General features: G+C 31.8%; 1 protein-coding gene across 6 annotated transcripts in view; it reads right to left on the minus strand.

Moving 5' to 3' along the window:
* PCLO (piccolo presynaptic cytomatrix protein) overlaps window positions 1-18,984 on the minus strand; it is a 408,873-nt gene that overhangs the window by 69,452 nt on the left and 320,437 nt on the right. For 5 of the 6 annotated variants that reach the window (XM_017012006.3, XM_047420211.1, NM_033026.6 and 2 more), the window contains 6 exons: window positions 17,996-18,046; window positions 14,755-14,879; window positions 12,204-12,230; window positions 4,410-4,503; window positions 3,126-3,197; window positions 773-953 (listed from right to left, as the gene is read on the minus strand). In XM_017012006.3, the coding sequence (XP_016867495.1) occupies window positions 773-953; window positions 3,126-3,197; window positions 4,410-4,503; window positions 12,204-12,230; window positions 14,755-14,879; window positions 17,996-18,046 (550 nt within the window). The remainder of the gene's footprint in view (window positions 1-772; window positions 954-3,125; window positions 3,198-4,409; window positions 4,504-12,203; window positions 12,231-14,754; window positions 14,880-17,995; window positions 18,047-18,984) is intronic. The other variant, XM_047420212.1, reaches the window with a different exon arrangement.

Raw genomic sequence — 18,984 nt, forward strand, 5'->3', positions numbered from 1 at the left:
AAATAGTTCAGTATATCTAGGTAAGGTACCACATGTTTTATCCCACAGAGGCAGTAGCTCAGTTTATGATGAGGATTAATGTTGTGTTGTAGGACAGTTGGTTATGAACCTCTCAAAGGAAAAGCTCATTTGAATGAGAGTGCTGTACATATTTGCATATTGCCAAACCCAATGTATGGCACTGTTATTTAAAAAATAATAATAGTTATTAAAAAATTAGCTTGAGTCCAACATTTAGGAAAGACTTAAGTAAATTTCAGCATACCAATTGTTTTGATGACAGGGGAAAATATTCTTTGTATGATAAATAAAAAGTAGCATGCAAAATTATATTTATTGGGTAAGACAATATTTATGGACAACCAGAGATTCAAACAATTAGAAGGATTATAACTTAATGATAATGATGATTATGTCTAGTCAATGAACTCGTAGGGATTTTTGTATTATCTTTATGAAATACCCAAATGCATTTTCTGAAATCATGTTATCATGGATTTTGAGGTGGAATAGACCAAATAGCTCATTTTACATGTTGAAATTGGACAGTTAGAGAAGTGAAGATTACAAAGTACTACACCTAAGTATGGGTGATGATCTGAGAATAAAGCCCATTTCTCCTGATTCCACTCTTTGCATGACATTATATTAAGTATTTTCCAGTCGTGTCTAATCTATTAATATAGGTTAAATGTACAAACATTCACACTAAGAAGATACAGACTGAACAAATAGACACAAAACTTTTTCTACTTAAAAAAATATTTCCTACCCTTTGATGGGTCAGGGAAGATACCATGGCTTCTGCTTTTGATAACAGATGGCTTTGGGGACTGCTGGCTGCTCTGACTGGAATGAGACTTGCCATGATCAATGCTTTCAGTCTGTTCTTTGAGAGGATACCACCTTGGAGTGTTATCGAGGTGAGATGTGCTAGATAAATCAATCAATACCTGAAAAAAAGTGTAACAAATAAATGAAATTTAGGGACTAAAGTATAATTGATTCATTACTTTTTCTATGTTCTAAAATTTATTCAAGGATATAAACCAAGGAATACAGTATAACTTTTGAGGATGATGATTCTTTCTTCCTCAGTTTTCTTCACCAATGATACTGGAAACAATGTCTTTTACATACTAGATGCTTAATAAATGTTTGCTTGAACTGAACTGTATAAAATTTTTGACTATTAACTAAATTATTTGGATATGATGTTAAAAGATAGGGTCACAAGTCAATCTGTTCATAAAACAAAACTTCTTTTTGTTGTAAGAACTTATTTTAATCTTACACGGTGAAATCCCGTCTCTGCTAAAAATACAAAAAAAAAAAATTAGCTGGGCGTGGTGGCGGGCACCTGTAGTCCCAGCTGTGTGGGAGGCTGAGGCAGGAGAATGGCATGAACCCAGGAGGCAGAGCTTGCAGTGAGCTGAGATCACACCACTGCACTCCAGCCTGGGCGACAGAGCAAGATTCTGTCTCAAAAAACAAACAAATAAACAAACAAACAAAAACTCATAACTTATTTTAATCTTAAACTGGACTAGCAACCTTGAAAAATGTTTGATTTTAGTCACAAAAGGGACAAAATGGAAAAGAATGAGTAAGTTGCAATTACAAACTTATTTATTCTATTTTAAAACATACTTTAGTTCACATTTGAAATAGGGATATGACTACCACATTTTGTCATGGTTTAATTGGCAACTTTTTTTTTCTTAGTACATTGGTGCATTTTACAGTTGCTGACATCTTAGATATGATGAGCTAAAAAGAAATGAAAACCAGACCAATGGATATATGCTTTAGGCTCATGTAAACATAAGACCATAAATTAGAAGGACTTCAGTAAGTCACTTTTTTGAAATGAAACATAAAGTCAGGCATAATACTAATCTAGAGTACTCCTGCCTAGGATCAAGATTAGTCCAAGTGGCTAGAGCTGGATGGAACTGGAAGGTAAGGGTCAAATGCTCCAGTTTTGGTGAAAAGAGATGTGCAAAGTCTTAAGAACCAAACAAGTCCTCATTATCACCTTGATTACACAAAAGGATGTCGTATTTTGTAGGTTTTGGATTTTTTGGAGATTATTTTTAACATTAATTCATAACTTCTGCCCTAAGCAGAACACTAAACAATGTGTATGTGTGTATATATATTATATATATTATACATAATATGTATAGTATATATACATTGTATATATAACGTGTATATATACATTATATATACACTGTAGACATACAATTGTATACACTGTATAGTATATATTATACATTGTATATAGACATATATACATTGTATATACACATGATATATACAATATATAAAATATATGTATATACAATGTATAATATACGTATATATAACATATAATGTAAATGTGTATATATATACACAATGTGTACATATCTACATTATACATATAATATTCCTATATATAAACAATATGTGTATATATTATGTTCATATATATAAACAATGTATATATATAATAGATTAAAAATCACAAGATCTGTTCATGCTACCAATTTCATGATTATTTGTTTATTTTTAAATTTTTACAAGTACATAGTAAGTGTATATATTTATGGGGTATATGAGATATTCTGATACAGGCATACAATTAGGTTATTTTGATTCCTTGATGTTAATGTAAAAATTGTTTTTATTGTTTTCTCCTACTTGTAGTTTTGCTTCTTAAAATGTTTTCAGTGATTTTTCTCAGAATACTTAATTATAAATAACAATGCAATCAATATGTCACATCAAATCAATTAAAGAACCTGTAAATGCATTTTTAAAAGTCCAGGCCATTTTATAATATAATAAATTTGTTACTTCAAATCTCATTTGGACTCACAGTATGATTACATATCTTCCTATTGAAAGAAAATTTCATCTTAGAAATTAATTATAAAGTACATCAAGTGATAGAGTGAAAACCATTTCTTGAATTGGTATTAATCTACTCAAATAGTAAATCAGGAAATAAATTCTATCTGCCAGAAGATTTTTTTCAGAAACGGCTATCTTATAAACTTCAGAAACATGCTTTGCATCGTGCTTTAATTGGTGGTTTACCATAGCAGCAAATAAGGGAAAGGAAGTCAGAGGCTTACCTCCCCAAGGAAGTCGTTGGATGAAAATCTATCATAATCCCAAACTGTCACCTCCAGTGTTTTCTTCTTGAGCTATATAGTTCAAATAGAAATCTAATTAAACCTATCTTTCCATCATACATTTTCATTACACACATACAGTAGACATATTTATTTTTTTCCTTAAACTCCTTCCATTTATGTGAAAATACTTAAAATTTTACCGAAAACTATGTAGTTTAAATATTAAATATTATGTAAAATTTGAATGATTTTGCACTCTAAACTAGTGTTTGATCATGGGGAACATTATTATTTTGTGAATAAAATGATAATTCTTACTTATTTATTGTATCCCCACCTCATTTTCAAAAATAGAAATCAGAATTTATAAATACTCTAAATATAAGAAATTCATAGATTGCAAAAATGTCTAGTATTATCTAGATGAAGTATTGGATTAAATGTTTCAGCAATTTCCAAAAAACTTAGTAGCATTGCCTTATTTCTGCAGGTGAGTTTATTTTAAATTCACAAACCCAGATTATAATTTATATCCAGCTTCATCTTTGTAATGAAATTAATCTACTAGAAGACAAATTAAGAATCTCATTTTGAAAGACAGTTCACTTGTAAATTGGTTTATGTGGGAACTGTCTTTATAGTTTTCTCTCTGAATTCAACCTTATACATTTCAGTTATTGTCTGTTAAGCAAAGATATAAAAATGCAGATTTTCAGAAATATAATAATGTAATTTTTGCCTACAGTTACTTATCTCTGGTGATAATCCTTTATACTAGTCATCATTTTGCCTTCTTCTGTAGAGATTAGCACCACAATGCCAGATTCTTAGGAGGCCTCAATTTAGCAAAGAGATGAGATCCTAAAATATTGTCTAGTGGAGTAATACAGTTCTATGCACTGAATCTTATTTTTTTTGTGTATTGTGTATGAAAGTCAAAATATAGCCAGTTGGAAAATGTGTTTCTCTCTCAAATATGATAAATGTGGCTTAGTCTATTAAAAATTTTAAATTCTGAAATAACAAATGGAAAATATTCCACTAGTTTTCTTATTTTATTTGTTTATGTTTTGGCTGCTTTGTCAAAATGTGCACATTTACTTTCACCCTGTGCTTAAATGTCACTCATTTTTTTCCATTGGCTACATTTCTTACATGTATTTTACTCAACTTTTTTTGTTTGATTGGCAAAATGTATACAGATCCCAATTTTTGAATAATTGTGTTATCACTGTACTTATATTAGCCTAATTCTGTCACCTAGAAATAATCTTGACATACCTGTTCCATGGAAATACTTTTATAAATTACTGTTTGATTCCACTCAGGATTAAGACTTTTCTGGACATGTTTAGTCCTTCTCTTGTACTCAGCACTGAATTGGGAGAAAAGAAAGAGTTATCTTGATTATTCACCTTAGTTTATGACTTCACAGTTAAACTAAAGGACATGCAGACTATTCAAGATATTTTATTTCAAATCACTATATAATTATCTCATCATCCTCATGTCTTAAACCTTAGTTTAAGTTGAATGCACAGTGACAATTTAAAAATATGTTGGATGCTTGTAGTTTTCTTTGCCCTTATGATTTTTTTTTAAAGAAATGCTTGTAGGTGTTCTAAATATACTATAATTTCAGAAATCTTGCTCATTCCTGAATGTAGGAGATAATTACATGAACTAAATAGTAACATCAATGTTACTGCCCCATAAACAATAATTTGGTGTTTAACCTTACTATAGTTTTGTACATACGGAAAAGCAAAACTAAAACATTGTAATGAGTGTACTGAGAAAAAGATGAAGAATGGCTGTTGCTGTGGCTCACATTCCATAAACACTTGTTACTGATATCTAAAGTATATTCCAACACTCTTGGTAAAGTATATTTAATGCAGTTATAAAGCAATTTTAATTAAATATAAATTTTTGGTTTATGTCAATATGCTATTTTACAATTGATGAACCAAATAAAAATCTTTCCTCAATTATTAGAACTTGGGACATCTGCATTAATCCTTGACTTTCCATTTCCTCTGAGCACCAATTAGAAGCTTATATGCTACACATTTAAAAACAATTTATTTTCAAAGCCTATCCTAATGAAGTCTGGCAGAACATCTATAGCTGGCACCAACCTGCTGATGGGGTTGAAATTAGATTACTGTTACTTGCTATTACCAAATGGTGCCCACACAGACAAGGCCTTTCTCTAACTCTCACTGCTTTTTTCTGAATTTTCTGCCCAAGCTTATGTCTCACGTTCTAAATAATACTTCATCTGTGGTGGGCACTAGAGTCCTGTAAACCAACCTCTCTGTCTGGGGGTCTTGACATGTGTCTGGATTTCACAAGTTGCCTTTCCCTAAAAGGGGGCTGGACCCTGACTCTTGTAATCTGTAGTTCTATTCCAAACTATAGCCAGACTAACTCTTGCTACATTCCTGGTCTCAAGTATTGCCATATCCTGGATGCCTAGAAATTTTCCCCAGCCACTAATTTACCTATACATTGTAGAGAAAGCTATTGAGGATCAAACTCCAGCTCACCACTCACTTTTAAAGATGGGCCTGCAGGCAAGTACTTTCCCTGTATCTCTGATTTTATTTTCTTACCAGTCAGATACAAGGGAAATAACGCTCAACATTGACTGCATAATGGGATCACCTGAGTTCTGGTGGTGGGAGGTGGGTCAGTCAACCCTCCACCCACTTCCCTCTTGCCCCTGCTTACTCCCCGAAGGAAAGTCTGACTTGATTAGTCTGGGATGAGGCTTGAGTATTAGGATTTTTGAAGGCTCGCAGGTGAATCTAATATGTAGCGAAGATTAAGAAGCACCGAGTTGGTGTTTCATAACACTTCACAAGTCAGCCATTGTGAGCTGAATCCAACTGAAGAAATAAAGCAGCATTCCTCGCACTTCAACCTATTTGAATGTACACAATTAAGGGCAGAATTTGACAGCTGTCACTCAAGATAAATTACAAAGAATTTTAGGGAAATATACAGACAATGATTTAAAGAAAGAGGAGCTCTCATAGACTATGGATAGGAAGTTTCTATATATACTTTTTAGATAAATTTGTCAATATCTAGTGAAGTTTAAGTTTATATACCCAAACATCCAAATATTCAATTTCTACTAATTCCACTTCTGCCATAGAGAAATTCTCCTACCTGTGAACAAGAAATTTGTTCAAGAACATTAATTGCAACATTATTTCAATAGTAAGCCAATAGAAGAACGAATAAATACATTGTGATATATTCATTTCAATGAAATAGTAAGTGGCACTGAAAATCAATTAAATTTTAAAAGCCTCCATATGTCAAGATAGATACATCTTGAAAAAAGTTTTGATCAAAAACTTAATATGGTATGGTATAATGGTATAAACATAAAATCATGTGAAATAAGGTTACACATTATATATACATGTATATATGACATACATATATATTAATATCGTAAGAAAACTTGTAAATTATGAATATTAAATTCAATTTAGTGAGTTTTTTAATGGATAGGGAAGTGATTTCAGAGGGCTTCAGGGTATTATCTTTTAAAAAATCTAAAACAAATATAGCAAAATCTTAAAATTTGACAAAATTGGATAGCAAGCACACAGGTATTTGTTAGGGTATTTTCTATAATTTTTAGTAAACTTGAAATATTTTATAATGAAAAATTCAAAAATTTTTAGTAAGATATGTTCCTTTAAATTTAGTTTTGGATTCTTTTTTTGATGGTGACTTAGAACTAATGACTTAATTTGATGGTGATAGAATTAGTGTCTACAAAAAAGTGTCTACATAGAAATAATACATATAAATTAATACATAGAAAGAGTTAATAACTTTAATTTGATAGTGACATAGAAAGAATTAGTGACGACTTTTAAGTTAATAGTAAACTTGGATTGCTACTTTAGAATCATGGCTATTCTCATAGGTGAATATACATAGGAAACAAACACATGGTAGTATGAGTTTTAAAGCCTCTGTTTTGGACTTACTTATCAAGGTGGTGAGGTTATGGAAACCATATTAAGATTTATAATACACTGAACAGTAATAAAATTATGTTTTTTAAGTTCTAAAAAATACATAATTTGTTTAACAAGATGGGAATTAATATCAAATGCAAACCCATGTACTATCACTAAAATTCTGGGTCTGCCAATACATATTAAAATAGTCTGAAGTAGTATTAAAATACCTTTGAAGGGATTTATCAGTCACTATCTTTTCTTAATCCATACATGTGAATAATTGTTATTCAAATTTTTCAAATCCACATTTAGTCTTTTTTTCACTTATACACCTAGCAAAAATTAGTGAATGCCAACTCTGTATCAGGAATTGTAGATGTCTATCAACTAAAAAACCCTTAATTGTATTGACATATGAGTATATATTTAATTCATGCATGAAAAGCATTTTTAAAAGTAAGCATATTAAAATCATAACTAACATTTATTAAATGCCTCCTTTTTCCTCTGGTAAAGTTCTAAGTGCTTTTCATGTGTTAACTCATGTAATACTCATATTAACCCCATTATACAGGTATTACTTCTTACTCCATTTTATAGGTGAGAAAACTTGAAGCTCAGAAAAATTAAGGCGTATTGTCAAAGTTGCATAGTTATTAACTGGACCAGGATCCAAACATAGGTAATTTGATTTCTTGCTTTTAAATAAATGTTATATGAACTCAATTGATTAGGCCCATCATAAAATGTGACATCCATCTATTTTCTTAATTGCAGGCTTCACTACCTGAAGTATCTAGTTTGTCTTCTTTATAATCTAAAATTCTCCATCTCAATTTAAATACATAATTTTTATACATATAATATAAATTATGTATAATGTGTGTAGACACGCATTATAAACATCGTGAACAAGTTAGGCCTTCTTTAGAGTTGCCTAGGGAAATTCTGAATAGTACATCCGAAGTGAGTGTTGTGGAACAATTACGCCTACTTATTGTAAATACTGATGTTTGGCCAGATACATTTAGAAATAACCTAAACTGATTGGACAAAAGTTAAAATGTTCATTTTAATAGAGTATCTTAATCATAGTAATGAGTTTGATTCTCCAATTCTCTCCAGACCTAAAACATCCTTTAGAATTAATGAAAGTAAAAACAGCTTGCTCCTAAACACCAATGAAAGCCTTTGCAGTATTTTTTGCCCTTGCATTTCCTGACATGCAGAGCTGGTCACACAAAGCCATTCTTCAATAACAGTTGTTTTATAACTACCATGCTCTGATCATATCATACACAATTTCAATGAACTGTGTTGCCACCTAACACAATTTAAAACTCTACACAAAATAGTCATATCAAAATCTGTGGAGTTGAAGGTAGGCAGGTAAACAGGGGGATTCTTAAATGTGAGCATAAAGTCAGGCTGAGAAATAAGTGGAGTTCATCCTCCCTTTCCTTTCTTGTCTAGTAAACACACTATATTCTCTTGTGGGAAGATTACATTAATGATTTAACATTAGGACAATTAGGACAATTATATCTAATAATTAAAGAAGTTTATTAATAAGGGAAAATAAAAAGGTCAATACATAAAGATGGGACATGGTGCTTATCAAAAAATATCTAAAACTTCACCCTCTTGAAGTTTTGCCTTGTTTGTTGGTTTGATTATTTATTTTTTGAGATGGAGTCTTGCTCTGTTGCTCAGGCTGGAGTGCAGTGCAATCTCGGCTCACTACAAGCTCTGCCTCCTGGGTTCACGCCATTCTCCTGCCTCAGCCTCCTGAGTAGCTGGGACTACAGACACCCACCACCATGCCCGGCTAATTTTTTTTGTATTTTTAGTAGAGACGGGGTTTCACCATGTTAGCCCGGATGGTCTTGATCTCCTGACCCCATGAACCACCCTCCTTGGGCTCCCAAAGTGCTGGTGGTTTATTTTTTTATTTGTTTTTATTGGTCATTTTGTCATGCATAGGTATATATACTTTTAAGGCTGTCTGAAAAAATTTTTGAAATTCAATTATTCTACTCAAGACCAGCAGGAAAACAGTTTCCATGTACATATTTTTTAATTTCAAAAGAAAAACTGAGAAAAGATAATGAAATTTGAAGGCTTCTTTGGTGTATCTACTTTCATAAAATTATCTAAAACATTGAAAGTATTCATTTTTAATGATTTATCTGGTTTTCCTTTACTAAACTTACTACACACACACACACACACACACACACACACACACACACACACACGTTTTTCAAAATTACTCCTCTGAGGTTATTTCTCTTAATTTAGAAAAAATACAACTTGCATCCCATTTTGTAAGCTCTGTTTAATAGTGCGATGGTGTGCTTATTGTCTATCATTTTATTTTCCTCTTTGCTCTCTGATGGCAGAGACTATATGGCTACATTGTCAATTGTAACCCCTGCACCTGGCACAGTGTCTGACACATAGTCTGTGCTAAGTAAATATTCAGTGATCCTTAGAACATGCTTGTATTTTGTTTTCCTTTAAAATCTACTGAAGTAAAATAAATTTTGGACACCATATTGTAAATACACACACCACCTGTACCTGCTTTCCACAGGTCCCAGAGGAAATAGTTTGATAGGATACCAATGTTGTTTAGAGAAAGGTCCAGCCAGGAATTGGGCTTCCAGGTATAAAGATAGCTAAAAATAATTATATTCATAACAAAATCTCAGTAATGAGAAAATATTTTCACTTCGCTCAACAGTGTGATGAGAGAAAACCAGAGCGAGGCCCTTCATATATGCTCATTTCCATTTCTTAATTATCCAACAGGAAGTATTGAGTTCACGCACGACCCAGACCTTTTCCTAGTCATTCTCTCACCTTATCTTGCCTGACATTTTGCCCCTCAAAGTTTGAGTATATTGATCAGAGGGTGGGAAGAAAAAAGTAAAGGAGACAAGGAAACCAAATCAGTGTACTTTTTAACTAGCTAACAGGACTCTTATTTTAAATTTAAGAATGAAAGATGTATTACATTTTAATATTAAAGAAAAGTTGTTTAATTTTCTATATAGTATTTTAAAATAATTTAGTATAATTCAGAAGCTCAAGCATTCTGTACCTTTCTGTTGCAGAGATAACCAACCACTGGTCGCAAAAAAATGTATGATACACATTGCTAGCAATAATAATAACAACTACTATTGATTGAAAGCTTATTATGTTCCAGACATTATGCTTATCACTTTTGATGTATTTATTTCATGTATTTCACAGAAGGCCTGGGAAGGGAGCTGTTATTATTCCTATTTTGCAGAAGATAAAATAGTTTTAGAGAAATCTTAAAGCTTCTAAGTGACAGGGCTAAAATTCAAACGCAAGTTCTTAAGGACCTCACTTATTGGCTTCCACAGTCTAACTTACAATGTCAGTACCTTGTCAATATAATTCCCTCTTACATTGACAATTCTCAAAGACATGGTGAAAGTGATTTCTAGATGAAAGATATAAGAAAGTAGCTTCTAGATCTTTTAAATAGTTATTTAAGACATGGTATTATTTATAATTTATAAAATATTCTCTCTTTTATAAGTTAAATACAATCTCTATCATTCTGATAATTTTCCCCAAGTTTCTATATATAAAAGATAGGGAGATTCTGAATAATGTGATTAATAATATCTGTTCTAAAAATAACACTATTTCTTTGAAACAAAACTAATTTTGCATATCAGCCTGAGATACCTGGATTGTGTTCTGTGATGAGAGAACCAGCCATAACAAGGAATCTATCACAGCGTCAGTTACATTGTTTGCCATAATTATGTGGCTGTAAGGAAACAAAAAGTTTCTGGGCAATAGCAAGGCTGTGGTAACAAATCCTATTGTTTGAAATATTTACGTATTTATGCTTTTAAAAATCAGAAACAGCCTCATTTGGGAAACAGTTCATTCGTAGTAAATATGTGAAATTTTAATGTCATAGACAAAAACGAATGCTGTACCATTAATAATCTGGGTGGGATTAAAATTCCCATCACCCTATTGCTACAGATCATACATGATTTGCCTTCCCAACTAAATGACACATTTAATTTATAATGCAATGAGAGATGTGCAAAATAATGCTTTTGGCTATGTACTAAGAAATTGTCTTAGTTGACAGTGTAATGATGCAACTTGTCATGAGCTGTATTAGAAAACGCTCCTACTATTGGGAACAAAGGAAGATTAACTTATTGCTAATATACTACAGCAAGCCAATTATGGCATCCTACATTGCATAGCAGAAATTTTGTGGGGCAGAAGTTACAAAGGCATGAAAATGTTTCAACATTAGGTTCAAGTGAGGGACCAAGTTCAAACACCTATTATCTTTTTTTTTGTTTGTTTGTTTGTTTGTTTGTTTGTTTTTTGAGGCTGGAGTGCAGGGGTGCGATCTTGGCTCACTGCAAGCTCCACCTCCTAGGTTCACGCTATTTTCCTGCCTCAGCCTCCCAAGTAGCTGGGACTATAGGTGTCCGCCACCATGCCTAGCTAAGTTTTTGTGTTTTTAGTAGAGACGGGGTTTCACTGTGTTAGCTAGGATGGTCTCGATCTCCTGACCTTGTGATCTGCCCACCTCGGCCTCCCAAAGTCCTGGGATTACAGGCGTGAGCCACCGTGCCTGATGGGATATACACCTGCACTGGACATCCAGAAGACCCATTAATTACTTTTGAAAAATGGCTACAGATATTTTTAATAGAAGACTCGAGAACTTAAATCATGATTATTATGTGAGAAGCTAAATGAGTTTTAGTGAATAGATTATGAGACTTTAGTTATGTCTAATTTCATGGTAATAATATTTTTTTCATTGTTTCTATGCTTTTAATATTTTCTACTTTTCTGTGTTCTATTGCACACATCTGCTAAAGCTATTTAGAAATATGCTCAGAACAATTTGTCGCAGTGCTGATTCAATAGATACAAACATGTAGAAAAATATAAGTTACAGCCCATGTTGAAGTGCCAGTGAATGTACATAAAAATGCCAAAAGTATAATTCAAGACATAGCAGCAGAGCTTGACACTGAAAGAGAAACAACTCTACCTTGCATTCTGGACAACCATGACTTGACTGCATTGATTCCAAGAGCGAGAGTGAAGGGGTAAAACAGGAAAGTAGAAAAGACAGGAAGAAAATAGTTAGGAACAGAAATAAGAAAGAAAACATGAAAATAATAACTAGAGGAGCTATCCCATAACATAAATGACATGAGGCAGAAAATGCTAGAACTACAGTGAAAATAATACCTTGCAAGTGTAATACATTCCAAGGCCTTTGCTTGTCTAATAATTAGGAGTGTGATTAAAAGAAAGACCCAGGAATTGAATAGGGGTAGCTTATTAGCTGCCTTTGAGCCAAACCTCACCAAGTAGGGACGTTTTATTTGACAAATTGCATGAGGATAGCTTTAGGTGGGGCATTTGTTCTCCATTTCACCATGGTTCCCACCATTCCTTGTTGCTTACCCCAGAATGGACTGACAGATTCATGTTACCTGCCTGTCCTTCCTGGTTCTTTAAGTTTGTAACATTCTAATTGACACATATCCTGTAATAAATAAAAGATAGATACTCCCATATTGTGTAAAAGATGATATTCCAGGATATCATTAGAGAATATAGAATATAAACAACAATGCTTTATTTTCATTCTTTCATTTGCAAATGCTTATTACAGACAAATCCTTGGCAGTGATTTCCCCTTGTATCATAATATTGTCATAAATAACATTGAAGGTCTAATAAATCAAAGGCGGAATGAAGTTATCAGTTTGTTGTTGTTGTTAGACTCTAAAAGATATTGCCAAATTATAGTTACAACTACTATATATAGATATAAATGAATTAACATAAAACAAAAACTACCTTTTCCTATACTATGTGACTATTGGTAATCTCTACATAAAATTATTGGTTTTTCAAAATGTTCAATAAAGTAAAACTAGAGCAACCATACCAACAATTCCAAGTTTTTAAAATAAAATTATTGAGAAGGATGAAATTAAAAGCTGTGAACTAACTTTGATATAGCACCTGGCAATTTAAAAATTATTTTCTGAGTATTATCTAATTTGGTTCTCCTGACAAGCTAAAAATGATGATTCTGCCTACCTCGGCTCTCAGGGTTGACAAGAATACTGAATCTCAAAGAAATTGGTGATCTGCCTGTGGTGATATAAATACTAAGCAGCAGATTCAAGGGCAGTGTATAGCTCTAATTTGGATCCTGTTTAAACAAACCAACTACAGTAAAAGAATACACTTCATATAATTAAAATGCTTTTAAATTTGCCACAGATTATTTTATGTCCTAGAAAACAGTCTATTTTGGTGAATGCTCCATGTGTACTTGAAGGGAATATGTAATTTGCTATTGATGGGTAGTATATTCTGTAAATACCAATTAGATCATCAAACCAGCTAGGAAAATATTAAGAGGCAACCAAACAATTATTTGAAAAATTTAAAATTATGCTTATACGAGGTATTAAGGCTATTTTTAAATGAGTTTTATTTTTCAGAAATATATACTAAAATATTTGCAGAAATAATTATAATAGCTGGGATTTACTTCCAAGTAATCTGGATTAAGGGAGTGTATGAGGAAAAGAAACATGATTGGTCACTAAGTGATAACTGTTGAGGCTGAGTGATGGGTACATGGTGTGTCAAATTATTCCTTCTACTTGTGTACCACAATGGAAAATTTCCAAGTTAAAAGGAAAATTCAAATATCACTCCACAAATTAAAATGAAAATGAATAAAAAATAAAACCAGTTTCTTTAAATTACCAACTCAAAGTTCTTTTTATTTTACCTCCATTTGTTGATCTTATGTTTCCATCTTGCTAATTTGGCTGATATGAATTGCTCAAGTGAAGGATAATAATTTGTAGGGTTCAAATCAGTGCTTTGAAACTATCCTTGAGTACTGACTTATATACCAGAACACAGCAATTTGCATTATGTGAAAGTTAAATATCTCCAAAGAACACTTGCTTATATCAACAATTTATACATCACACAAGAGATTCAAAGAGATATTTTTTATTTATTTACCAAAGTCAATACTTCAAATATCACTTTGTGCTATTTTATAATTTTTAAATCAGTGATTTGGAAATATGTGTATAAATAAGGATACATCAAGAAGCCACTTAATCAACACTAACATAATGGAAAATACACATGTCCTATAAAAATAAACAGTAACTTGTAAGTCCTTGAATATTGATTTCTCAGATAAATTTGGGAAGGTAAGCCAATTCTTTAACTTTGACACAAATAATTCCTTAAATGATTTCATAGTGAATCTGATAGTTATCACAGGAGTGGTTTCCAGAATTGAAAGGCTGATTTGCTCTCTTGGAGGCTGGTTTCATTATGATCACTGTTCTTCTACAACCCTGTAAGGCTTAATTACAAGTTTTTAATTCCACCTTATCTACTAATTGGAAATAAATAAATATGACATGTGGAGGAAAGTAAGGAAAAGATAATAAAGTCAATTAAAATGAGGTGTGGAAATTAAAGAGTAGAAAATACTATACTATTGTTTTAAAGCATGAGATGAAGTACTTCTTAATTTTACTTACCCTCTCCCTGGAAGAAGGTACACTTTCACAAAAGGGTCAGAATAACCATTGTTGTCTCGAGGAACAAGATTTCTTGCTTGGAGAATATGTATTATGAGATTTCCAAGATCATAGTTAATTTGAAGCTTTAGGAGAGAGAAAAATATTCCATAAGTTTTTAAAAGCATGTTATACATTATCATTCAATATTTACTAGTTTTTTTTAAAGAAAATTCTTATAAGAAGCATCAACTTTCATTTTCATTTTATTTGAAACCAAACAGACCAGTTAATGTCTAATTTAATTGAGAGCTCCCAGGCATATTTTAATTCCTAGCAAACATGCTGTTCATTCTTTCCACAGTGAAAAGGCCTGGCCTGTTTAAAAGTTTATTTAGAAGGAAAATCATAAGGTAGAATGCTGGTTATCTTTTTTAATTAAATTGCTACTCTTAGGAAAATAGTAAATGTTGTTAATGTTTATTAACAACAATTCCTAGAATTTTGAAAAGAAATTAACTAATTGGTAAATTATTATAAAGTATTATTTGCATTTTGCCAAATAATTAGCAGTGGGGTGGAACTGTCATTTAAAGATAAAGCTGTCAGCACTGAAATGTAAGAATATTTAAGAATACACAGATTATTACTTTTTAATGTTATATTATCTGATATTAAACCTATAGATACCTTTCGGTACCAGCTTTCCTAATAGAGTGAGATACTACAATACTCTTTTTTTCTTTTAATTTTAGAAGCTGAAAAAAGAAGAGACATTGCTTTATAGATGCTTATTGGCTGCTGCACAATTGTGGCTGAATACTAAAAGACATAATTCAAACAAATATTTGAGAAAACTGCATAATTCAAAATAATTGAGTTAAGCATTTTTTTCTTCTACAATTGAAAGACTCTTTTGGCATCATTTAGAATAAAGCTTAATTCTGTTTGATGTTACTTTTGTTTGTTAAATAATAGAGTGGAAGGGATCCATATTTCAAAGGGCAAATCCATATAGAAAGATACTAACTTTTAAAATAATCCATATAAAACAGATATGCTGCATTTATATTTAAAATAGGATAACTCAGATGAGTCATACTTTCCTGTAAAACTTCATAATGAAATAAATCCTCATTTTAGTATAATTTTGATCTTATTATGTTTCCTGTCAGAAAATACATATTCAATTGCTTATCTCCATCCAGAAAAGACTAGAGTCCCTGACCATAATAAAAGCACAGTGAAAAAGAAAGCAAAGTACCATTAAAGAAGAGGAGAAAGGGGAAGTTTAGAACTCTATGCCATCATGCAGCAACTGTATGCTATAATCTGGTACTGAAATACAGAATATAAAATAACCTGTAATTAATACCACTGAAATTTCAAACAACTTCCTGATCTTTATTTAAGGAGAAACACTTCCCCATTCTCTCCTTTCTCTGCCAGCCTTAGAATCCACTTTTAAGTGATGAAGCACCCAAACCGTTTCTTATTGAAATGAAAACTTGCAGGCCACCCGAAGAGAGTGCTTTTCAAAATTTGCTCTGTATGGCCTTAGGGAACATCTAGAGTTACTCAGGGTCAGCTTTGAGAGAGAATGGGATGCCCCAGCAATCTTCAATCACAGCGACTCCAGTGCTGATAGATTCATGGTTTGGTTGTCTACATAAGATTTCATTTGAAATGAGCCTTTGCTAAAATAAAATAATAATAATAATAATTGAAATCACTGCCTTACGAAAATATCCCCCAAATTAAGAAGGAATAATAGTAGGGTAAATTTCAACTACAGAATTACATCTTACTCCTTAAGGGAAAGCAAAATAAAATTAGAAAAAACAACAACAATAAAAACAAAAAACACAGTCCAAAAGAAACACTAGTCCAAGGACAGAAGTTTAAAAATAGTAGGAAAGAGAAAGAAGGCTATTAAGAATCAGAAATTCTAGCATTTTCTTTGCTGTTTGTGAAATGAAGAAAGATCAAGTCAGTGAAAAACAGGCTTTCTGGAAGTTGGAAATAGCAGAGAAACAGCCGGATCTGGAGTACAGAGGTCATCAGGGTAGTACTGTTAGTTTGTTCTTAGTAACGTGTCAACCTTCTGCACATTTTCTCCATTTCCACGCTCACACTCCACTTCTGCTTTGTAGTAGGTTCCTGGATAATCACTTAATTGATTTCTTTGCCTCAATGTCCTCCCTTTATAATATTTCTTGTAGGTCACTGCCATATGAATTTTTATTACACATTCTTTTCAAATAGTCTCTCTCTTACTCCAAAATAGAGATCATGGTATATTATGTAGTGGCTAACATTCCTAGGATTGTGTTCAAGTTTCTTTTTAATTTAGTCTTAACCTACTTCTCGAAGCTGATTCTTCAACCATTACTCTCGGACAACAATACCTTTAATTGTACTCTTTCTTCTCCAGGAACATAATCTCCCTTTCTTTATGCTTATCTTCAAATTAATTCGAGTTTCTGTTATCCTTTGTGAAGTCTTTTGTGAAAATTTCCTCTAGAATGTATTAGAGATGCAGCTAAGACTCTCTTTCATCTGAAACATACTGTTTTCAATTAGTTACTATTTTATAGTGTTAATTCTTTCTATATGCTATTTCTTATTTAGTCTAAATTACTTCTTGGTATCACCTAAGGTGCAGGTTTTAAAGTTTTATTTTTACTATGACCCACAATCAGAAATATATAAATATCAAAACACAGAGAGAATTTAAAAAGATGATTATCTTTTTATTTTTATATATTTTTCTTTATCTATTTTTATTTTATTTTCCTGATGAAAATTAATTTTATAAGTTACAAAGCAGTTATGACTTATGCTATGAAAAATACTTCTCTACAAAAACTATTCAGCAATTTTTAAAGCAATTTTTGATTAAAAGAAGAAAAAATCCCAGTAGACTCATGAAACTCTTAAAGAGGAAACTTCAAATTTCCAGGAGAATCTGTCATGTTTAAAATACATTCGACAAATATAAAGTAACTGAGGCACAAAACATGTTGACACTGCTAAGATATCAGGCAGATTTCAAAGTATAGAAATACATAGCTATGATTGGACTTCATAAAACATATATTTGTATTAATATACTATTCTATAAAATTGCATTTTTCCTTTACAGTTCTGTATATATTACAGAATAAGAAAAATCCTAACAGTGTGTTTACAATTTCAACAAACCAGTGGCAAAACAACCAAAAAAGGTTATATAATGGCGACTTTTTAAAAAACTTCATACCTGAATTTCTCCTGTAATTGGATGAGAGACAACCTTTGTTCCATCGGTAGGCTGTAATATTAAAGAACATATATTACATTAATAGATACATTTTTCACATAATTTATCATTTCGGCTTCCTTCTGAAATTAGTTTCTATTTGGTCAGAGCAACTGCTTGGAAAATATATTTTATCCATTTGGCTGCTTCAGAATAATGGTGTCTACTTACGGTTCTCAATACACATTTAATTTTACAGATGCATAAATCTATTTTTCATTTTGGTAAGCCGGCTTTGAAGCTGTAATTTTATACCAGCAGTATTTTCAATTACTTAAGAAAATGAACACTTTAGGTTTAAAGCACTTAATTAAAGTATCTACAGGTTTTAAAGATCTATACAGTAATGTTTAAAATACATTCAACAAATAAAAGATTGGTTTAATACAAGAACTGCCGAGGAGCACAGAAGGTAGAAAAGTCCTTCTTTCACTTCTTTGCTGAATGCTCAGCACCTCCCTGCTCCCTTCCAGAGTGAATCACCCACTCAATCACTTTCCCTATAAAAATTCCAAAGAAATTTTTATAGAACTAGTAAAACATTCCTAAAATTCATTTACAGCCACAAAAGACCCTAATAGCCAAAGCAATTTTAAGCTAAAAGAACAAAGCCAGAGGAATTATGCTACTTGATTTCAAAATCTACTACAAAGCTATAGTAATCAAAGCAGCATGGTATGGCTTAAAAGCAGACAGACATATGGAATGGAACACAATAGACAACCCCCAAATAAATACATTCATTTACAGTCAATTGACTTTCAGCAAAGATGTTAAGAACACATAATGGGCAAAGGATAGTCTCTCTAATAAATGGTACCAGGAAAATTGGACATCCACATGCAGAGGAATAAACTTAGATCCTTATCTCACACCATATACAAAAATCATCTCAAAATAGATTAAAGATTTAAATATAAGACCTGAAAATTTAAAATTATTAGAGAGAA

This window comes from Homo sapiens, chromosome 7 (assembly GCF_000001405.40).
Source record: "Homo sapiens chromosome 7, GRCh38.p14 Primary Assembly".
Classification (NCBI taxonomy): Eukaryota; Metazoa; Chordata; class Mammalia; order Primates; family Hominidae; genus Homo; species Homo sapiens.